Raw genomic sequence first — 24,405 nt, forward strand, 5'->3', positions numbered from 1 at the left:
GGTCTTGCTATGCTGCCCAGACAGGTCTTGAACTCCTGGCCTCAAGTGATCTTCTCCTCTTAGCCCCCAAAGACCTAGGATTACAGGCATGGGCTACCATGCCTGTCTCCTGTGGTGGGTTTATATCTCTGTGTTCCTTTCCTGCCATTTTAGTGGTTATTGAGACTGTGTGAAGTTGCATGCTTTCATGCAATCACTGGCTTGAACAAGAAACCTTTTTTCTGGGGCATTTCTAATTGCTTGGATATATGCAAGTAAACTTCTTATTTAGCTTATCACATTTAATGTGTTGACAATGATGGGTACAAAATGGAACCCAATAAGAAAATCACCGAAGTGTTTCCAGTAAAAATGCACAAGGATATGCTCTGACTTGGATCCCATTCTTTCATTCAATGTCTGTTTACTGGGCACACACTGATGCTACCCCGTGAAGTGGCTGAGGCAGTGCACATGGTAGGCATGGCCCCTGCCTTCCTGAAGCTCATGCTATGGGAAAGCCATGGTGTAGAATTATCAAGTAAGACAGGTCCAGATAGTGAGAAGTACCTGTGTGGAGGACGAGGTGCCACCTTATGAAGAGGCCTGGGGAGGAACACTCCAGCTGGAGGAGTCAGCGAGGGAGGACTTCCAGGTAGAATCAGTGCTCCCGTGATCCAGCAAAGCCAGGTCTCCTGGGCACTGGGTTTGGTTATAAATGCGAAGCAAGACTGGAGAGTTTTGAGCAGAGGAGTGGTGAGTTCATTGAAGAAGATGACTTGGGCGCTGTATGAAGTGGGATGGGGCTGCAGGTGGGCAGGACTAGAGGTCAGAGGAGGAGACATTAGAGTAGTTCAGGCAAGAGGTACCAGGACCCTGGTGCCTCGGTGTTTCTGGCAGTACGTCTATCATCCCTTCCCTGCCCACAAATGCCAGTAGCATCCTGAGCAGGAATCACCACCCCGGCCAGGCGCAGTGGCTCACGCCTGTAATCCCAGTACTTTGGGAGGCCGAGGTGGGTGGATCACAAGGTCAGGAGTTTGCGACCAGCCTGACCAACATGGTGAAACCCCATCTCTACTAAATATACAATAATAATAATAATAATTAGCCGGGTGTGGTGGCACGCACCTGTATTCCCAGCTACTCAGAGGCTGAGGCAGGAGAATCGCTTGAACCCAGGAGGCGGAGGTTGCAGTGAGCCGAGATGGCGCCACTGCACTCCAGCCTGGGTGACAAAAAAAAAGAAACACCACCCCTAAGCGAGAGTCTCGTGAGGATGGGAGGTGGTAGGAAGTAGTCAGGTCTGGGTCTGGCCAAGGGGTGGCTGTGAAGCCTGAGGGAAGACAGGCATCCAGGACCATCCTGGCTGGGCCTGTGCAGGAGCAGTGCGGAGAGGGCTGTGTTAGCCCTGCCTGCATCCTCTGAGTGGGCTGGGGAGTAGGAGTGTCCTGGAACACAGGGCACAGGTTGGTGCTTGGGCTACAGATTTAGGAGTCCTATAAGGGCACTCAAGCTCTGGGCTGGGCGAGATGCCCCAGGGACTGACTACAGGAGGACCCCAAGAAGCAGCCCTGAGCTGTGTGACAGGATGTGGAGAGATAGAAAGTCAGTGGCATGTGCTGGGAGTGCTCCTCCCCCATGCGGGCTTTTCCTTGGAGTGTGCAATTTTTTTTTTTTTTTTCCTGGCAACAGATTCTCACTCTGTCACTCAGGCTGGAGTGCAATGGCACAATCTCGGCTCACTGCAACCTCCACCTCCCGGGTTCAAGCAAATCTCCTGCCTCAGCCTCCCGAGTAGCTGAGACTACAGGCGCCTGCCACCATGCCCAGCTAATTTTTTGTATTTTAGTCGAGACAGGGTTTCATTGTGTTGCCCAGACTGGTCTCGATCTCCTGAACTCAGACAATCCACCCACCTTGGCCTCCCAAAGTGCTAAGATTACAGGTATGAGCCACCATGCCTGACCAACTTTTGCTCTGGGTACTCCAAGTTTTAATCATGACCTTCAAGAAAACTTGTTTCTTCAATTTATTTTTTATTTTTATTTTTATTTTTTTTTTGAGATGGAGTCTCGCTCTGTCGCCCAGGCTGGAGTCCAGTGGCGCAATCTCGGTTCACTGCAAGCTCCACCTCCCGGGTTCACGCCGTTCTCCTGCTTCAGCCTTCCGAGTAGCTGGGATTACAGGCGCCCGTCACCATGCCCGGCTAATTTTTTGTATTTTCGGTAGAGAAGGGGTTTCACCGTGTTAGCCAGGATGGTCTTGATCTCCTGACCTCGTGATCTGCCCGCCTCAGCCTCCCAAAGTGCTGGGATTACAGGCGTGAGCCACCACACCCGGCTAATTTTTTTGTATTTTTAGTAGAGATGGGATTTCACCGTGTTAGCCAGGATGGGTTTCTTCAATTTATAAAGGGTTTTGGTATACATTATATTATTAGATCTCTTGTTTGCTTCTGAGTAAATGTGGTGCTTCACATTCCTGTCATTTTCCTATTACATTATCTATTGCGATGTGTAAATATTTGCTGTAAATTTCTTTAATGTGTAGATATCCAATTTAATTCTTATTTTCAGTTATGTTCTCCTGACTATAGAATTATTGTGTGTGTGTGTGTGTGCGTGTGTATATATATATCTGTGAAAATTTCTAGGTTATCTTAAACTGTAATAACTATCCCAAATAAATGATCATATGGGATAATATTCCCAGGCGCTGCATGCAGTATTCTAAACATCGTAGCATTCCTCCTGTTGTTTTGAAGGAAGCATATTTGTTTGCTTTCTTAAAGGAAAAAGTGGAAATACTTGCTCCCCTGTATTGTTAACAGGAGACAGTTTTGCACAATATTTATTACGTTTCCAAATGCATACTCAGCACTGTTATGACTCTTTCTCCTCCAGCTCACAGGAAGTAAAAGAGCACAGCTTTTTCAAAGGTGTTGACTGGCAGCATGTCTACTTACAAAAGGTACTCACTCCCTCTTGACTCTACTTACGGTACTGCCGCCCCGCCCTTACCCGCTCATCTCTGTCTCAGTTTCTGTCTCTGTCTCTCTATGCACTGCTGGCTTCCTGGCTGTGTCTCCCCAGCATCCCCACCACCCACCTCCCCCAGCATCCTGTGTCCACACTCTCTTGTTACCCGAGAGTTACCATGTAGCCAGTTCCCTTTGGGGCATCCTCTCACTCTTCATTTCTCTAATAGAAACATTTTGAAAATATCTCCTATATCAACTAATAAAAGGTAAAATGGAGCTATTATCTAGTTAATTCAAATGCACATATAATTGAGCCTTTTTTAGTTTTTGCTCTTCTTCTTGAATTCTTATCTCAATGTGACTGTATTTTTACATAGATCTCTATAAAATGTACGTGAAACTTCTGCCATAAACGTATGTATATTTTCTAGCCCAATACTACATAATTTAAGAATTAGCATGATTTTATATCAGCATGATTTCCTTTCCTTATTTTAAGCTTCATTATATTTGCGTTGATACAGGAAACACCCCAAATTCAATTTTTAGAAAAATGTTGATTATCAGCTTTAAACTTGCTTTGCGTGAACTCAAGCTGCAGAGAAATGACGATTTTCTGTAGTAAAGAAAGACTGATCTGTCAGTCCTACTGAATTAGAGTCCGACCTCTGGGTCAGTTAACACATACCTTGGAGCGTTTGCAGATGTGCCCTGCTCCCTCCAGGCCCCATTGTCTGTTGTGGCTCCGGCAACCCAAAGGTGGTGTTGCGTCCTCTCAGAGAATGTGCTTTCTTAAGCTGAGCTGGACGGATATGCAGTCCTGAGATTTTGTTATATTTGAAAATTATTGAAGGCTTTGGACATGAATCCTATTTTTCTTTAATTTGTCTAAAATATAGGGCCTTCCTTTGGGGCTATTGAGTGCAGTGGCTTTTCTACAAAATATGAAATGTGATTTGTTACAAGTTTGAATGACATGCTGCGCAGTGGAGCATGCGGATATCTCGCACTGTGCTGTCTTTGTAGAATGTTAGGTTGGGACAGGGCCATACGATCATCTGAAAACTGTACCATGCTTGTTTGGATCTTCCAGTACCCACCACCCTTGATTCCTCCCCGGGGAGAAGTCAATGCTGCTGATGCCTTTGATATTGGCTCATTTGATGAAGAGGATACCAAAGGGATTAAGGTACACATGTGATCATTTATTTCTTTATTTTTATTTTTGGATGGGATGATTTCTGTTGGAAATCAAACTTAGTGGTTGTTTTAATATTGGGCTGTTTATAGTATTTAACTTACAAATGAGTATCAACATATTTGAAGAATGTGTAAGTTAAGGATCTAAATTAAAGGCTTTGAAAGCTTTCTTCAGACTAATAATTTTATTTTTGAGGAACTACATGGTAAAATATTATTGATTTGGAATATTTGTGATTGAAATAAAACTTGAATTATACCTGAAGCAGGAAAAACAGCTGTGTGATATCAAACATACTTCCCTAGTGCAAAAGAGCCAGCTGTCTCAATTCTTCTAAGTTTTTAGATCTCCCCGTGTTAGGATGAAAGAGCAAACAGCATGAATCATTTTGCATTTGTCAATCAAAGGTGAAATAATCACTGTTTTTTTTAATACAATCCTCTGCATTTTTCGAACTTTTGTTCATATCGTTATTCCCCCAAGTAGAGACAAGACATAATTAGAGATGGTGAGTCATGAGAGAAGATCATTCTGTTTAAGATGCTGGGTCAAAGTGTATCACTACATCAAGCTCTCACCTACCCCCATGCTGGCAGCTTGCCCCAGGCTCTACCCCCTGCCCCCGGGCCTTCCCTGTTTCTTCTCAGCTGCCCCCATTTACACCCTTCTGACACAAACCCGCGTTGCCTTCCCCACCAAGTAGCTTCCTTCTCCAGAAGGCTGCAGCACTATTAAAACACACACCTGTGAGGTGTAAATAAAAGAGTGACAAGTAAAATGCAAGGGCCTAGCAGGAGCTATAACTGGAGACACGTAGGACTGGGACCAGCTAGACTGTGGGACAGAAAAGCCAGTAAATGGCTGGAGGAAGATGGGAGGATTGTGGGGAAGGAGAGCAGCATGTACACGCCAAGTGCACCTGGGGAACCCAGTGGCAGCTGGTCAGAGCTAGGGGCCCCAGGAGATGAGGGGCTGGGCCATGATGGTGATTGGGGTGTTCATGGGACCAGCTTTTCTGGTGTTGGAGGTTAGGTGAAGGCAAAGTGCAGAGGGCCCAGGTCACAGGGCTGTGAGGATTGCTGACCAACTGAGGGACACCCTTCTGTGGTCTGGAGCAGTGGCTGGGGTCAGCATTGAGACCGATGCCTAGACCTGTGCACAACCAGGCATCGTCTGTAGCCGGAACCATTGATACCTGTCAGGTATATGAGTATACAGCAGTGCTTTGGGGAACAATCCATTTACAAAGGTATTTAAAAAATTTACTGCTGTCACAATAGAATTTTTTCACCTGCTGTATACCACTATCTGTCCGTCAGAGTACTAAAAATAAAACACTATTACGTGGGTGCCCACAAACATTTTTTAATGTTAAAAAGAGATGATCATACTTAAAAATGTTGTAAACCAAGATCTAGGCTTTGGAGTCAGACAGACTGGGCTGGGATCTGCCACTGAGCTGAGTGAATGTGGGCCATTCTGCAACCTCTCGAGTCTTGGCTTTCTCACCTGTAAAGTGGGTGGTTTCATTGCCAAGCTTTCTCTGAGGATAAATGAGGTGGCCTGCTGAAGGCTACAGGCATATAGTCAATGCTTGACAAACTAGTAGCTTCTATTATTATGTTTTGGTTCTTCCTGAGCAAGAGCTGAGAAAGAGCACACTTAGAACAAGAAGTCCTGTCTGGTAGGGATTCAGCTGTAAACAAGAAGCCCAGGTCCTGCTCCCGTGAGAGCTGAGTCCAGCAGGGAGGGCAGGGGACTGCATTTTAAGAAACTGTCTTTTAAAAACAGCCTAAATAATACATTTTCTTTAAAAGGGTGGGGGAAAACTCACCTCATGTAAACATAAGTTCTTTTTTAAAAAAATTCATTTTCAGCAAGGTGGGCTCAGTCATAAAGATCAAGTCTTTCTGAAATTATAGGCGGTAGAACAGTGTCTATTAAACAGAGTTGGCCATTTCAGAATAACTGCCTGGGCAAGGAGCATGCTTTGACTCTTTGCCAGACCGTTCAGAGCCTGTCCCTGTGTGCCTGATCTCAGGTGCTCATCGGACCTTGAGGTTTTCAACACCCCATCACTCACACACACACTCACACACGCACCTCCAGTCCCATTCAGAGCAACTGAGGGGCTCAGCTATGGGCTTAGATAGAATGTCTGAAGAAAACAGAAAGAGGAAAAACTCTACAGGTCAAAGCGACCTCAGAATCAACAGATTATTATAATAGATCAATGAGACTGGATGGAGTAGGCCCCATATTGGCATGTGGGATGCAGCTTCTTCTGGTGTTCTGTTGATTTGCTAAGGGAGTGTGTGCAAGTGCCTTAGCCTCCTTGGTCTTTCTTGCCCTTCTCAGTATTTTGCCTGTTATGATACCTACCCCTGCTTATCTTTCAAGGAGTAAGCAAATCAAGTTTCTAAGGAGGTCTGTGCTTCTAAGACAAGCATGTATTTACCAGCAGGCTTGCTAGTATTTCTGCTATAAAAATGTAGTTCACATGCAGAAAACCATTTTCTTTGCTCATATTCAAAATGCAGCCTTACCTAGAGGGCAGAAAGAAGAATTTTGAATAATCGTTTAGAAGAAAAATGCTACCATTAAGTATAATTTTTGTTCCAGCAGCTCTTAAAGGCTCCATTGCCTGAACTCCCCATATGTCTTGAGATTTCTTATACATATGATTATGATGTCAAACTGTAAATAGTTGGAAGGTTCATGGAATTAATAGGAAGCTCAGCTTCATTTACCTTTTGTTTTTCTAACTTTTCAGATTAATTGAGGGTAGGTTCAAAAGCCCTCTTGGCTTCTCCCTTATAACTGTTTCTGAAACTATAGAAACAGTTTTCCTACCTATATAAACAAAATATCCTTACCATAATTGAAATTTTACTTTGTTGTCAGAATCTCAGTACTTCAAGTAAAATTCTGTATATGTGAGTTTTCGTTGGCAAAACATGTCATGAAGATAGTATACAAGATTGGGTTGATTGTAGCTGATCCAGGACTGAAAGTGAAGTGCTCATCAGTTCTGTTTGTGGATGATGATTGCTTGAGTTGTCATTAGCAGAGATTTATGATAACTAAGAACCTGCCTCGAAATGATTACTGCTGCCATCTAGTCATCTTCCTATATAGAGTTATGATAGAGTCACCATGGATGTGGCGCCGCGGACTCTTACCTTTGTAAGTATGTTAAATCATAAATATCTTGATTTCTTAAAATAATCAGCTACTTGATTGCGACCAAGAACTCTACAAGAACTTCCCTTTGGTCATCTCTGAACGCTGGCAGCAAGAAGTAACGGAAACAGTTTATGAAGCAGTAAATGCAGACACAGATAAAATCGAGGCCAGGAAGAGAGCTAAAAATAAGCAACTTGGCCACGAAGAAGGTAAAATAGCTCACGTGTCTCAAAACATTTCTAATGCAGTAAATTTTCAAAATTTCTTGTAAAGCTGAAAAAGTATTTGGGTCGTAAGGTATTTTGCAGTCGAGAAGAAAGCAATGCCATAAATCGCTTTAGTTTGCTCTGGCTTGGAAGAGCTCAGTCTAATATTTCAAAGTCTTCAGGCAGCACACAAATAAGTCTATGGAGACAGGTGGCCGGGTTTCTTTAGTATGCCCTTTTATCTTGGAGTGCTTGGGGACTGGTTTGGACGTTTTTTCCTTCCAGATTGAGTATGACAGTGTCTGGAGTGGGGTTGGTGTCATTGGTGTGTGCCCTGTGCGGTCATCTGGGCACCTGACTCAGTTTAGTCCTCTGTTGTCATCACCTTGAGACTCTTAGTCATTTTTGAACAAGGGGCCTGCCTTTTCATTTTGCACTGGGGCCCGAGAAGTATGTAGCTGGTCCTGGCGAGGAACTTAGCACGACATGTCACTTGTCAAGAGAGGTAAATGTCTCCCATTCAAGTACTAACCAGGCCCAACCCTGCTTAGCTTCCAAGATCAGATGACATCGGGTGTGTTAAGGGTTGTATGGCCATAGACAAAAGAGTTAAATATATAAAGACATTTATATTACAAACAGCATTTTAAAAATTGCCAAATCAGGCCAGGTGCAGTGGCTCATGTCTGTAATCCCAGCACCTCGGGAGGCCGAGGCAGGAGGATCACTTGAGTCCAGAAGTCCAAGACCAGCCTGGGCAACATGGTGAAACCCCATCTCTACAAAAAATAAGAATTAGCCAGGTGTGGTGGCATGCACCTGTAGTCCCAGGGACTGGGGGGCCGAGACAGGAAGATCACTTGAGACCAGGAGGTCGTCTGCAGTGAGCTGAGATTGTGCCACTGCACTCTAGCCTGGGTGACACAGCGAGAAGCTGTCTCAAAAAAAAAAAAATTGCCAAACTGTATTTTTATGTAAATAATTCAATGCCCTACTAAACATAACATCAAGTAGGAAACATAAGTTTTAAATAAATCAGTCATTCTCATTTCACTGAATATGGTTACTCTTGATTTTTCTAAGATTTCATGAATTGTGGATAATTAAATTTATTGTAGTCGATGATTATGTTAAGATGTAATTTCATCTTCCCTCTGAGCAAAGACCCTTGCAAGGTTAACCTTATGTAACAAGAATGGCCAGAAACTCTTTCACTCTATTAATAGGTTACTTTGGTAGCAGCATCTTGGTATAGGATTCCTTGGTCTTATCTGATGATTTTCCTGTGGCATTTAAAGTGTCTTCAATTCTGGATGACTTACTCTTTATATAAACGTTGCCAGAATACACCAAGGGAATCCTGCATTCTTTTAACTCTGTTTACCTCAATTCTGCAGGGACACATAGCCTTTATTTGTAAGCTCTTCTTTTTTTTTCTAGATGGAGTCTCACACTGTCACCCAGGTTGGAGTGCAGTGGCGCGATCTCGGCTCACTGCAACCTCCGCCTCCCAGGTTCAAGTGATTCTCCTGCCTCAGCCTCCCAAGCAGCTGGGATTACAGGCGCCCACCACCACGCCTGGCTATTTTTTTTTGTATTTTTAGTAGAGATGGGATTTCACTATGTTGGCCAGGCTGGTCTTGAACTCCTGACCTCATGATCCGCCTGCCTTGGCCTCCCAAAGTGCTGGGATTACAGGCGTGAGCCACTGCGCCCGGCCATAAGCTCTTCTTTAGAGAACCGGTCCATTGTGATCACACTGGGGTGTGTTTGCCACAGCAGATTTTACACAGGAAATTGAATCAATGTCGACTTGCTCAAGGGGGGGTCATGGTGTCACTAGAATCCTGATTAATTGGATCCACAACTATATATAGATCTTCATAAGCATGTTCAAGTGTATCCTTCTAGTTAGAGCTGTAATTAGAAAGTTTAGCAAATCAATGAATTTATCTTCCTGTGTTAGTAAGTAATTCGTGCATAAGTAGGTCTTGGCTGACAATCTCAGAGGTCACCTTTATAGAAAAATATAGTCTAGGCTTAGATTCCTGAAAAAAAAAAATTATAATAAAGTTGGTCCTCCACATCTCAGGTTCTGCATCTGTGGATTCGACCAACCATGATCAAAAATATCTGGAGAAAACCAATAAGAATAACAATACAACAATAAAAAATAATGCAAATAAAAGCCATACAGCAGGGGTTCCCAACCCCCAGTGGGGAGGCCAGTTAGGAACCGGGCTGCACAGCAGGAGATCAGTGCTGGGCGAGTGAGCATCACCACCTGAGCTCCGCCTCCTGTCAGATCAGCAGTGGCCTGAGATTCTCGTAGGATTGCAAACCCTATCATGAACTGCGCACGTGAGGGATCTAGGTTACGTGCTCCTTATGAGAATCGAATGCTTGATCTGAAGTAGCACAGTTTGAACCCAAAACCATTCCCCCATCCCCGTCTGTGGAAAAATTGTCTTCCACTAAACTGGTCCCCGGTGCCAAGAAGGTTCGGGACCACTGCTACACAGTGTAACAACTATTTATGTAGCATTTACACTGTATTAGGTATTATAGGTAAACTAGAGGTGATTTAAAGTTTGTAGGAGGATATATGTAGGTTCTATGCAAACACCATGCCATTTTATATTGATGACTTGAACATCTACTGATTTCGGTGTCTGCTGGGGTCCTGGAACCTACCCCTTGTGGCTACCAAGGGATGACTGTGCTCGTATTTTAAACAGATTTCGGAAATGCAAGCACTTCTCAGTGAAAAGGACGACTCCATCCTTCCCCATCACCACTGACCCTCCCTGGCCCTCCCTCTCCTTTGTTCTTTACCTGCTTGTCTCCAGATGACTTGACATGGGTTTTACGTGTTTACTTATGGTCTGAAACACTCACTAGATTGTAAGCTCTCTGAAGCAGGGGTTTTTGTCTCTTGTTCTCTGCTGAACCCAGAATATCTGGAACATGCCCAGCACCTGGGCATTCACGTGCCACTTGTTGAAGAAATGAGTGTGTGACTGAATGACTTTAGGACAATCACCAAAGCCTTTAATACAGACTTTAAAATTAACCTTTTCTTTTTTTAAGGACACAGTCCTTCACTGTAAAAATGTAATCAGGACTCAACAATGTCTGTGAATTATCTCTATACATAACCATATATTTGAGGAATAAACCTAACATTAAGCTGAGGAAGGAACCATTTTTGATCCTTATGTTACCTTAAATTACTTAGACAAGAAAATTCCCACTATTATTATTTTTAAGATAAAAGGGAGATTAAAGGGGGAATCCCAACCCCACGTAAAGGCGAAGGTACTTTGGGGATAGCTTGACTTTAAATACCGTCTATTCTCCGGTTCTCATTACACATAATGAAAAGAGTTTGGAAACTAACTTTTGCCCTCCCAGAGCAATAAATGAACATCATGGATTTATCAGCATATTGAGAAGCAATCATTTACTGTGTGAGCAGAGAGAGCTGCAGAACCCTCTGATCTTTAGATCCCCAGTACACATGCACTTAAAACTAAAATCGTGACTTCTGTAATGCGTTCTATTTATAGAAACCTGCTTTTTCCAAAAAGCATGTCTGTTCTTTTTTCAGAGAATAATGCTGCTAAGACATTTTGTTTCAGAGCCTATTTAACTCCTAGTGATTTTGTATTCCTCAGATTACGCTCTGGGGAAGGACTGTATTATGCACGGGTACATGCTGAAACTGGGAAACCCATTTCTGACTCAGTGGCAGCGTCGCTATTTTTACCTCTTTCCAAATAGACTTGAATGGAGAGGAGAGGGAGAGTCCCGGGTAAGTCTAAGGCAGCCTCACCGAGCATGTTTCCCAGTACGTACAATGGCATATGGTTATTTCATGTTGCTGACATGTTTTATACACTATCCTCCGAAACTCTGTGATTCTATTTTACTGCTCTACATGAGATTGTAATGTGCAAACTTTAACTTGTTTTTAAACTTCCAAGTCAAGGAACAACTTGGTAATACCTGAAAATAGAACATGCTTTTTAGTGAGGTCAGAAGCACCACATCATCAGATGGATTTGAAGAAGGCTGGAGAGCAGTTAGACAGATCTAAAAAGAAAAGACAAGCTGGACTTTGAAGTCAGACAGAGGTGTTCAGCTCCACTGCTGAGTGTCTCTGGGACTTTGAACACGTCACATTGACTCTCTCAGCCTCCGTTTTCTCATCTGTGAAATGAGGGAAATAGAAATCATAACAACTGCAGTCAGCCCTCCATATCCACAGATCCCCATCCTGGGATTCAAACAACCAAGGAGAGAAAATATGCGGGAAAAAGAAATTTAAAATAACAACAAAACAATAAAAACTAATACAGAAAAAAAACAACACAGTCTAACGACTGTTTACATAGCATTTACGTTAGAGGTGATTTAGAGTATACAGGAGGATGTGTGAAGGTTATATGCAAATACGATACCATTTTATATCAGCAACTTGAGCATCTGTGGATTTTGTATAATTTGGACCTGGGCAGATTATACATTTATTATGCTACTCAGGGGTTCCTGGAACCAGTCCCCTGTGGATACTAAGGGATGACTGTACTGTAATTTTTGCATGTTTATCTGAGGTCAAGTGCTGTTAAAAAAAAAAAAAACTCCATGTGTTTGGGAACCTTTGAGGGTCCAACTCTCATTTTATAAAGAGGAAAGCAGGCTTAGAAGAGGAAAGTCTGCCACCCAAAAACACAACTGGACAGTTAGGAGGTGGAAGGGTGACTCAGACCAGGTCATCCTGTGCCCTCAGTCTCTCCATTGTACGGCCTCTCCTAGTTGGGTCAAATAAAATGTCCCAGGCCATGACACTTGGCACAGAGATGAGGTCACCAAAAGATGCTTCCTTGTGTCTCCACCTTGTTGAGAATTTGTAGGTGGATCATACAACAGACAGCAAGATGTAGCTGCCCTCTAAGATCCTTTCGAGAGCTAATGTTTGTGAACAAGATAAAAAGAAATTTCTGATCCGCACTACCTTTCAGCAAATCAGGCAGCATTTATTAAGTGCCTACTGGGTGAAGAGCCCAGGGCTTGTCAACAAGGAAGGAGCCAACCCTGGTGGAAGGCATCTTTTCTTTTCTTGGTGGGGTGGGGGGGGGGCCTGGTGAGTCATCGTAAGCAGGACGATGGTCCCAAACACTCAAAACATTGTTTATGTGTTGGATATGTTGGAATACCACCCATCTGTTCTCCAGAGATCAGAAGTGTGGAAAACAGGGCACCTAAATCTCATGTATTTGACTTTGGACTGTATTTTTAGTTTACTGTTAGCAAAGTTTTCATTCAATTATGAATGATTACAATTGCATATCACTCCATTTCTTTGAAAAGAAAGAAGATCTTCCCAACCATCACTCCTGCCATCGAAGTTATTTTTGAAAAATTAGAATCTAGGATCTAAGTTCCAATTAATAAGATCCTTTTGGGGACCTGAAGTGTAACTCAGGGCTGGGAAGCATCAGAGTAGCTCCCCAAAGCTCACTGTATTTCCAGGTAATGAGCGGACCTGGGCAGATTATACATTTATTATGCTACCCACTGGCATGTTAAAAGGAAATCACCCCACTTTTCAGGCTGTTTGAAAACTTAAAAAAACAAAACTTTTACCTTTGTTTAACATTGGATGCAATAAATGAGCTTGGTTTTAAAAGGTTCAACATTTAGTGTTCTATTTAAGAAGCTACATAATATGCATGAGCAGATTTGTAAGTCTAAGTAAGGAAAAAGAAAACCTGAGTGTTTATCAGAGTGCCATTTCTCATTCAGGATTCCTGAAGTATTTATTTAAAACAAAAACCGTAAGACGCTAAGGAACTCATGACACTATAGCATTCACTTTAAGGAATAATACTATAGACTTTTTTTTTTTTTTTTTTTTTTTTTTTGAGACAGAGTCTTGCTCTGTCGCCCAGGCTGGAGTGCAGTGGCGCGATCTTGGCTCACTGCAACCTCCACCTCCTGCGTTCAAGCGATTCTCCTGCCTCAGCCTCCCGAGTAGCTGGGACTACAGGAGCCCGCTACCACGCCCGGCTAATTTTTGTATTTTTAGTAGAGACGGGGTTTCACCATCTTGGCCAGGTTGGTCTCGAGCTCTTGACCTCGTGATGCACCCGCCTCGGCCTCCCAAAGTGCTGGGATTACAGGCATGAGCCACCGCGCCCAGCCTATAGACCTTTTAATCTTTTAATGAAACCACCTCTATTTATGACATCATTGGGATACTATCAAAATATTGTTAGCTTACAAGCTGACATCAGTAAACATTTACTGAGTTGCTGCCTTAAAACTGAACCACACACCTTTGGCTCACATAAATCATATGTGGCTCTGTTGCTTCCTCACAATGTTATTGACAGAATGTATATGAGTGTGCCATACAGCAAGTAGGCTTGCGATTCATCATCATTCAAAATCAGTTCTGTGTTGAGGGAACAGCTTTGCCGTTTTTCCCTAGCAAAACATTGCTTTCTCTGCAGTTTTCCTTGAAACATTATAATTTGAACTTTTGTTTGTGTTCCTTTATAGCCATTTTCCCCTTACTTCTAGAATACCATCAAAGAAAGAAAACCGAATGTGTTTTCTTTTTTTACTTGTTCTAACTTGGTAGTTTTTGGTATTACTACTTAAGAAATCACAAAATAATTTGAATTTTAAATTTCTGTTTTTATGGTTAGCAAAATTTACTGACAATGGAACAGATTCTCTCTGTGGAAGAAACTCAAATTAAAGACAAAAAATGCATTTTGTTCAGAATAAAAGGAGGGAAACAATTTGTCTTGCAATGTGAGGTGAGTTTTTATTTTTTCTTAGGTGAATGTTAGAATAATTAAATATTCAGCAAAGTTGACTGCCTGTCTATAAAACATTTTCTTATGCCATGTTTTATCACTTACAAACTTAGTAAGAAAGCCCCAAGGTACAAGGTTTTCAGCAAATTCATCGTGATTTTTTAAAAAGGCAAATATTAGAAAATGGCAGGAGGATGCAGGTGAAATAATGTCATTACTCTATCTGGAAAATCTGCTCAGTATTTAATAGGGCTGGAATTTTATTTGTTCTATAACTTTGAAGATTTTTCGGCATGTTCGATGTTAAGGTTTATATATTTAGATAAATATAAGACGGCAAACTGAAATGCCATCTTCTCTAAACGAAAATGCCATCTTTTCCTCAAAGTTACATTGTAACACAAATTTCATTCCTGGACACTTTGTGACTGGTTCACTAGTGTGTGTGTTTTAAGAGAGCATATTTAGAGAAATAAACACGTATTAGATGCAAAAAAATCATTTTTACTAACATCAGTACTACATTACATACATGAATATATATTTAAAACATTTTTTAATTTGTCAAAACTCCTTCCCCTATATTATTATAGATTTCAGTTGTTTTAGAAATCAAAAGTAATCTCTAAACAAATTAAAGGCAGTGATTCTCAGAGTGGGATTGTACTGGAATCATCTGAAGGGTTTTAATGTGGCCTTTCCCTGCTCTTTTCAAGAGATTCTGGAGAAGGTGGCAGCGTGACCCATCAGCTAGTAATGCCACTGGGGGTGGACACGTAGGGTGTGCTTCCTTCAGGGGTTCCAGGGACGCTGGTAATCAATAGGGGCAGCCTCCGCTGTTGGCAAAATGGGTGAGCCTGTCACAACGGCTGCCTTTGTATTCCCCCTCAGAGTGATCCAGAGTTTGTGCAGTGGAAGAAAGAGTTGAACGAAACCTTCAAGGAGGCCCAGCGGCTATTGCGTCGTGCCCCGAAGTTCCTCAACAAACCTCGGTCAGGTACTGTGGAGCTCCCAAAGCCATCCCTCTGTCACAGAAACAGCAACGGCCTCTAGCACCCAGAAACAGGGAGGGTCCTCGAGGAGGACACACCAGGGTCTCAGCCTTTTGGGGTGAACGAGGATGAGGCATCTGATCTATTCGCTACCGGGACTCCTCCAGGCTCCCGAGAGGAGTCGGGACCCTTCGGCTTGGGGTCAGCTCAGCTCCCTGCCTTGTCACATTTGTCTGCATTAGAAACTACTGAAGAAATAAAAGTTCTTTTTCTTTGCTACACACTTTGGTACCTATGAACCTAGAACTTGAAGTGACTCCTACTTATCACGTAAATTTTTATGTCTGATATCAAACACATCTTAGACTCCCCAGAATGGAATTTAAAGATGTTCAGTGTTGGGTAACAGATTGCCCTAAGCATTGCCACATATTCTGTCTAGTCACTGCTGATTTTCTATGTCTTTGCTCCATACTGCTGGGGGATGGGAGAGCCACAGTGTGTTTCTTTTGTGCACTTCGCAACTGACTTCTTGTCCTGGGGTTAAAAGTTGAAGATATTTTCTGATGATATTAAAAGTTGAAGATATTTCTGCACTTGGGCCCTCCTCTGGGAGCCGCACCCACATGACTGCCCTGCCTCTGACCAGTCTGTTCCGGGGCCCCCTCAGCCAGGTGGGAATGACGGACACGTACTATCCAAGTGTATGGGATTAACTAATCATTGAAGGCATTCATCCGTCCATCATTGGAAAGATTTACAGTGATTCTGAAGGACAGGCCGTGGAGTTTTAGGTTTCAGGGGCAAGAGCAGTTTTCAAAAGTCTTTGAGTCCAGTGTGCACGAGTCGACAAGCAGTACCTGGCATGCAGGAGCACTCATGGGTGAGTCCGTCTCAGGTCTCGACAATTAGCAGTTGTGTGACAGTCATTCTGGTTCCTTCTGCCTGACCCTGGGAGACATATCAGTAATGGATGTACAAAAGCAGGTCTGTTTTATGTCTTAGTATAATTTCAGATGAATTGTATTGAAAAAATGCTGAGGAATGAATGTGTCAAAATGGGTTAACTGTGTATATTGACTTTCATGTCGTCATGCATCTGTCATGAATGAATGATACTTTGCACTGGGCTGTACGACAGTGAGGACCTTAGGGCATGAAGCCTTTTTCCTGGTCCCAGCAGCATCTGCCCTGTGAAGTTTGTTTTCTCCCACTGCCTCCAGGCCCCACTGATACCCCCAAATAGATGCTGGGTTATGAGAACCAGCGAAATCCCCCATGTCATCAGTCTTAAAAAAAAAATTTTACAAATCCACGTATTTGTCCCATTCTTGGAGTAGTTTTAGTGTATGTCTTTACATTAACTACTAACAGTATAAATAACTTGACATCGTAATTGTCTGCATCCTGTCCTTGATATTTTTAGCAGTTCCAAATCTTTGTTTTTGTATTTGTTTGCTGTGTTCATGGGCAAAGTAAGTACTTTTTAATGCAGTTATTTTGAGAGTTTGGAAGATAATTACCAAAAGGGTCCATTATTTCATAAGAGTTACTTTGCAAAAAAAAAAATGTGGGTTTTTTTTTTTGTCTATCTCAACTACTAGTTGGGGTTTAAATTAACATACATTTTCTACTATCTGTTATTTCCAGTGTGGGAGGAGGGATGTACTACTTACATGCATTCTCCTTATTTAAAAAGGAAGAATAGTATTCAAATTCTGTTGAAACACACACACACACACACACACACACACACACACACTCCAGAAGCAGAAAAGCCATTGTTCTTAAAGAGTGAATGTCTTCCCAGCCCTGGTTAATTATAGCTGTGACTGATGCCGTTCCCGTCTGCATCTCAAGCTCATAGGTTCTCAGCATGTGCAGTTGAGGATGCGCTGGGCCTCATGCCTGTTCTAGATCTCCAGGATAAAGGGCCTGCTGTTGACTCCACCAGGGTCTGGGCTTAGCGTCTAATATCTCGTACCTAGGGCGTGAGCTGCACAAACGTGTTCAGAAAGATTATTCAACTTTCCCATACTTGTTCTAAAATTGAGCTGATCCGCATCTCTTTCAAAAACTAGAATTTCTGCTCTAAGAATAGAACATAAGGCTCCACTCCCTTTTAGAAAAGATATATGAATTGGAAAATGCTCTGAAAGTCCTTTTGCTTCAAACAAAAGTGTAAACTTTTACACTTCCCCAACTCACATTTGATTTGTAATGATATGGTTGAGAAGTACATCTAGATGTCATTTATTAAAAGTGCTTTGTAAGACTAGATTGAGCTGTTTCTGAGGGCGGTCACCAGTTGTGTTGGGGTCTGGTTTGAGTGCCTTCTGCCAAAATGTTGTGATGGAGGTGTTTCTGCGACCAGACACAGGATACCGCTGTGTCTGCACCCGGTTGCCTGCATGGCCAGAGGAAAAGTCAGTTGGATTAAACATCATGGTATACTTGGCTGTTGTTTTTTTTTAATTTTTTAATTTTTTGGGATAGGGCCTCGCTCTGTCACCCAGGCTGGAGAACAGTGGGATGATCATGGCTCACTGCAGCCTTGAATTCCTAGGTTCAAGCAATCCTCCCACGTCAGCCTCCTGAGTAGCTAGGACTACAGGTGCATGCCACCTTTCCTGGCTAATTTATTTTTTGGGTAGAGATGGGGTCTTGAACTCTTAGGCTCAAGTGATCCTCCTTCCTTGGCCTCCCAAAATGCTGGAATTAGAGATGTAAGCCACCATGCCCAGCCATAGTACTTGGATGTTTTAGAAGGTTTTCCAAGTATTACATAATTCCTAGATGTTCACCCTTATTACACTCCAACTATTAAAAAGGTCAAAATTCAGCCTATTTTTTTTCATTATTTTAGATTCCTGTGGTTGGGATATTTTAACATTGATGAGAAAAATAATTGAGGTTGATATTTTTACAAAATCATGCGGTAATAAGTCTTGATTTCATGATTCAAAAGAATCAATAAAGCCTAAAAATAATAGATTACTTTAAGCTGCTATGTAAGATATATATGGAATAAATTAAAAACCTTTGTGAATTCAGGTTTATTATTTTTAACCTAAAACATTCTCTTTGGTTCATTCATCCCCTCATGTCATGGGGGCTCATTGGTTTTCCTTCTTTGTCATATTTAAGTATGATTTTTCAACAAAACTTCTAGAAGTCAGCTTATTATGTCACCATTCATGCAAAGTGCTCATGCCTCTGATTGGTCCATTCACTGACGTGACAATTTCAGGTCCTATGTTTAAAAAGAAGGGGCTGGCCGGGCACGATGGCTCACGCCTATAATCCCAGCACTTTGGGAGGCCGAGAGGGGCGGTTCACGAGGTCAGGAGATTGAGACCATCCTGGTTAGCAGAGTGAAACCCCGTCTCTACTAAAAATACAAATAAAAATTAGCCGGGCGTGGTGGCGGGCGCCTGTAGTCCCAGCTACTTGGGAGGCTGAGGCAGGAGAATGGCATGAACCCGGGAGGCAGAGCTTGCAGTGAGCCGAGATTGCGCCACTGCACTCCAGCCTGGGCGACAGAGCGAGACTCTGTCTCAAAAAAAAAAAGGAGGGGGGCTAAATATCCAGTGAGATGCACTGAGGAAAGGAAGCATTTTGCTGAAGACAGCAGCAGCAACAAACAATGGTCTGTTTGTTGCAAACAAGATGTAGCTTGATTTCTGGTCTGACATATGCCATATACAGATATTAGAAACGACTGTTTGAAGGCCACACTGGTCATCTACAAAGTAATGTTTACCAATTGACGACAGGGATTTAACTAGATTAAAAAGATCAAAGTGTGGTTTTTCTCTGCTTTTTAAAATTTCACTCGGAATTTGTAGCTGGGCCAATTCAACACATTTTACTTTTCAGTGGAATTGATTTTTCTAATGTTTCAGAATTTTAACATATCAAGAAGAAAACAACGTTCTCAAAGTCTGGCCTCTTTAGCATGATGTAAACCTATAGAAATGCTTTGAAATGTGCTGGTGTAAGATAAGAGTTATCTTGTATGATTTAATCATATGCAGTGTTGTCTCAGTTACGTTCAGGGAAATGTTTCTGTGTCATTCAGAGATGCTTGATGAATTAACACCTCCCACCCTGAGTGAGGGGTTGACTTGTTGGGAGATGATTTGGGCTTCACTGGGATCTGTGACAGGTGGGGGCTGGGCTGGGTGTCACAAAGAGAATAGTGGTAGAAATCGGGCGAAGGAAGAAAGAAGTTACTGGTAAAAATCATTACACCATAAAGCACCAAGGAAATAACTGAGTTAAAATAGGTGAAGTTTCTTTTTTCCCCCCTGTAACAGGAGAGTTTTCCTTATGATAATTATTCTGAGACTTGGTCACTTTGTTTTTGAATGTGGAGCTGCTGAACTCATTCAGAAGCCATTTGCTGCCTATCAGGACTTTCTGAAGAAGTTCTTTTGCCTCTGCCTACCCTCTGGCACCCTCCCATGGAGGCACAGGGGACCCAGAGCTAAAGCATTACCAGGCCATCTCCAAAACACCCCGTGTGTGTGTGTGTGTGTGTGTGTGTGTGTGTGTGTGTGTGTGTGCACTTTGCAGCCCCCGAGGTGGAGAGGCAGTGTCTGGATCACTGTGAATGCATTGCCCCATTGGTCAGTTGGGGACACTGTTACAAATCCACTGAAGTCCTGGTAAAACTGTCAAGAGTAACAGGCCTCTTCTGTTCTACCCTGCTCACTTCCACGGTGAGTTACCAGCCTGGGCAACACAGCAAGACCCCATCTCTACAAAAAAAATTTTTTTAAGTAATTAACCGTTTAAATTTTTTCCTAAAGATTTAACATGATTTTTCCCTCCTATGTAAAGTTTACTGGAGAGACTTGAATTACTTAAATTCATGTTAATATGATTTTTTTTTAATCCAGGTCACATTTTAACAAAGTTTATTATGAAACAAATGAAATTTGAACTCTAAAATGGTACTCCTTGGCTTCCTCAAGTCACAATGAACTTTATATTTTCTTTGTCCTTAAGGACTAAGATAGTTGTTTTATTTCAGCCGAATCACAGAGATAACCACTCCTGCAGGCCCCCACAGCTGGCCCAAAGGGGCTGTCTTTCTGACCTGGCTGTGTTAGCACTGATTGAGAAACGCAGGCTCCCAAATTTTAAATTGCCTTTATTAAAAACACAAACTACAGAAAATGGGTTAAGAGTATACGCATTTCATCAAACACATATAGGGGAAAAAATCCTTCAATTTAGAGTTAAATAACTCAGCTTTGTATAGTAGAGTTAGCGCTCCAGTATCTAACAATCTCAGAATCATCTCTGAAAACTGGTAACTATGCTTCCATTTTTAATTTTGTCCTAAATATCAGATGTCTTTGATGTAAGGGTAGGGAATGGAGAAATATTTTCAATTGTGTATTTGTATTACAAAGAACTTGAAATTTACTTTCTTAGTTGATTATATTAAATGATGTATATATTATATGTGGTTTATAAGCTCAACACTGGCCATTTTTTTAGTTTTATTGTTAAATGGTATTTTTCTATGTTTAATTATAATAGATCTGGCTTTTTCTGGATAGCATAAAGATCACTGAACTATATATATATAAGAAACAAGAGTTCTATTTTAGCACAAAGGCATTTTATATTATTTATTGAATCCATAAGTTTGTTTTCGTCAAAAACATTCCATATTATTTCTGCTCCTTTTTATTTGTATAGTTTGTTATTTAAAGAAATGGCAGTCCTTCCTGTTCTTAATACAATAAAATTGAAATAATGCACCTAGTAATGTGGCCGACATCTCTTCTCACCACCATGGACTGTTTTCAACAACAGTTGATCTTCTGGTCTGTGCTGAGAGGCGCATGCATGTCTTTCGTCACGTCGGGCAGCACACCTGCTGTGAAATACTGCTTTCATCTACCTCTTCAGAAGGCTTCTTGCTTGTTGACAAGTACCGCAAAGGCTTTATTCTGGACTGGCTATCTCATAAAAGGATTTCTGTAAGACTTTGCAGTGTCATTCCCTCAGAACCTAGGTTTGTTTCTAAAGCCACGGTATTGTCCAGGAGCCCCTGTGTGTGGGGCAGGTAGCTATCCCTCCCATGTCATTAGTAATCCTTTAGGATTTAAGGTACAACTGGACAGCATCATTCCTTCCCCTTATTGTGCCAAATCCCCACCATCAGCCTTGCCATTGCCTTAAGATTTGATTATTGCACCCAATTACCTAACCACTAAACAGAAAGGCCACCTTCACTCTTTGAAAAAGGCAAGCTGTGCTTAGAAACACTGCTTTTAAGAGTAGCACATTTGAGTGTGACTTTTTCCCCCCTTCACTATTTCAAAATGGTTTTGAAATGGGGTCTTAAAGGTAAGCGCCCTCATACATGACTGAAACTTTGTGAGAGGTCTTATATTTGAATGGACCCTTAATGATTTATGTGAAATAGAATGAAGTCCTGTCTCTGTGAGAGAACGTGCCTCCTCACTCATTTGTCTCTGTCTGTTTTCATAGCCATCAATATAGTAACATATTTACTATATTCTTGAATACCCTTGAAGAAAGAAATCCGTTTTCTATTGTGCATTGCTATACGAAGTGAAGCCAGTAAACTAGATACTGTAAATCTAGATATTGTACCTAGACAAAATATCATTGGTTCTATCTCTTTTTGTATCTGTTGTGCCAGGGAAGGTTTATAATCCCTTCTCAGTATACACTCACTAGTGCACGTCTGAAATAGTATCCCACGGGAGATGCTGCTCCACGTCTGAGGTCACCTGCCCTGTGTGGGGCACACCACCGTCAGCACCACCGTTTTTACAGTTACTTTGGAGCTGCTAGACTGGTTTTCTGTGTTGGTAAATTGCCTATATAAATCTGAATAAAAAGGATCTGTACAAAGATATCGACTTCCGTGTGCTGTCTTTCCCCTCAATTAAAAGCTGCATTTCTTTACCAAGCTGTTAAGATATCAGAAAGTGACTGATTGGAAAGAATCCCGACTCTGGGGGGAATTCACGCAGAGGCTGATTTTAAATAGAGGAAGAAGGGGACTGCCGAAAGCATTTCTGCTGATTTGGTGGGTCGCTGGAGCACAGCCAATTTCACAGTTTCAGGGTTTGGGACACCAGCGCTTGTGCCCCAGAATAACACGTTGCAAATGAAGAGCCTGGAGAGCCTAGGCAGTGAGGAAATCCAGTAGGTCTGGCTCATCTAGAAGCTATTCCATGCTCCCCAGCCCACTACGGGGGAGCTTTGGATTCCCTCCCAGAAGACAAGACCTCTTGCTCCCTATCCCTGCTCCCACAGAAATGTGCTGAGATGCTCCCCATCTCCCACCCCTACCGGCATGGTGCCTGTCACTGTAAACCAGAAATCCAAGGTGACAGTCCCCAAGCCACAGCTGCCTGGGCATGACTGTCTTCCTGTAGGTCCGCGGGTCAAGGGCAGGCTGGGTATCTCCTGTCTTTAAGCTGGCGGGGGTGGGGAATACCCTCTCTCTTGCTAGTTCAGGAAAGAAGGAAGTCACGATTGGTCCATGTAGCCACTGAGTAACCCTGGGGTGTATTTGTGCTTGCCAATTTGAAAACCATTTTGCAAAATAGTTGACAGGGGACCGAGCTATGGAGTGTGTAGCCAGGTCCATGGGCAGGAGGTGACAACCATCATGGAACCCTTGGTCTAATGTGTTACGTAACCGAGGGAAGCTGGATATGGGGGTTCAAACAAGCACTCCAACCCCTCTCAAGAGCTGCAGAAATCAAGTCACCCCCTCAGGAGCCAGAAGGAGGGGAAATAGCATCAGGATCTCAATTCCCAGCATCATCACTTTGGACAACCTCTTTGGCCCTCAGTTTTTTCACTCCTATGTTACAAGGATCAAATTAGAGGATCCTGAAAGGTCATCCAAGCCAAAAACATCCTCCGTCTCTGACTTGAGGTAAGTGACGTGTTGAGGCTGCAAAAAGGAAATGCCTTCCAAGTCCTAGGTTCCTCCTACCTTGCATTATGAGTAATGATGTTAATGTCCCCCCTTTAAACTGTGAGTTCCTGGATGCAGGAGCCCCTCAACTATGTACTGAATTTGAGGAGAGCCATCTAACAACTGCAAGGCTTTCTTTCCCTAGGCACTTTTACCAGTTTGGATATTGGAGTTCTAAAAAAGAGTTTTTCAGGCCAGGCGCAGTGGCTTATGCTTGTAATCCCAGTGCTTTGGGAGGTTGAGGCAGGACGATCACTTGAGCCCAGGAGTTTGAGACCAGCCTGAGCAACATAGCGAGACCCTGTCTCTACAAAACTATAAAAAACTAGCCAAGCATGGTGGCACATGCCTATGGTCCTAGCTACTCGGGAGGCTGAAGCGAGAGGATTGCTTGAGCCCTGGAGGTGGAGGCTGCAGTGAGCTGTGATTGGGCCACTGCACTTCAGCCTGGGCAACCGAGTGAGACCCTGTCTTAAAAAAAAAAAAGGAAAGTTTCTCAGCCCAAATTACTCAGGCTATTTCCAGAGATCAGATTCACCAAATAAAACCTTCAGCTTTTACTTTGTGCTCACATACACAGTTTTGGACGTGCACATAATTAATGAAATCCATGAAGGGAAATTTAATGGCTCATTTTTTTTGTTTTTTTAATGTTTAATTTTTGTGGGTACATAATAGGTGTATATATTCAGGGGTACACAAGACAGTTTGATACAGGCGTTCAATATGTAACATCCCATCAGGGAAAGTGGGGTATCCATCACCTCAAACGTTTATCCTTTCTTTGTGTTACAAACATCCCCATTATACTCTTAGTTATTTTAACATGTACAATAAATTATTGTTGTCTATAGTCACTTTATGGTGCTATCAAATACTAGATCTTATTTATTAAACTATGTTTTCGCACCCACTAACCATCCCCACTTCCCGCCCTCCATCCCCATACTACCCTTCCTAGCCTCTGGTAACCATCATTCAACTCTATCTCTCCATGAGATCAATTGTTTTAATTTTTAGCTCCCACAAATGAGTGTGAACAAG

General features: G+C 42.4%; 1 protein-coding gene and 1 pseudogene across 4 annotated transcripts in view; one reads left to right on the forward strand and one right to left on the reverse strand.

The window, feature by feature from the left end:
* GRK3 (G protein-coupled receptor kinase 3) overlaps positions 1 to 22,282 on the forward strand; it is a 164,620-nt gene extending 142,338 nt beyond the window's left edge. For all 4 annotated transcript variants that reach the window (NM_005160.4, NM_001362778.2, XM_047441166.1 and 1 more), the window contains 6 exons: positions 2,886 to 2,952; positions 4,056 to 4,151; positions 7,396 to 7,558; positions 11,233 to 11,369; positions 14,272 to 14,385; positions 15,277 to 22,282. In NM_005160.4, coding sequence (NP_005151.2) covers positions 2,886 to 2,952; positions 4,056 to 4,151; positions 7,396 to 7,558; positions 11,233 to 11,369; positions 14,272 to 14,385; positions 15,277 to 15,438 — 739 coding nt within the window. In that variant the 3' untranslated portion in view covers positions 15,439 to 22,282. The remainder of the gene's footprint in view (positions 1 to 2,885; positions 2,953 to 4,055; positions 4,152 to 7,395; positions 7,559 to 11,232; positions 11,370 to 14,271; positions 14,386 to 15,276) is intronic.
* Positions 8,029 to 8,157, reverse strand: RNA5SP494 (RNA, 5S ribosomal pseudogene 494; annotated as a pseudogene).
* Positions 22,283 to 24,405: the final 2,123 nt, after the last annotated feature.

The sequence above is a fragment of the Homo sapiens genome, chromosome 22 (assembly GCF_000001405.40).
Source record: "Homo sapiens chromosome 22, GRCh38.p14 Primary Assembly".
NCBI classification, from domain to species: domain Eukaryota; kingdom Metazoa; phylum Chordata; class Mammalia; order Primates; family Hominidae; genus Homo; species Homo sapiens.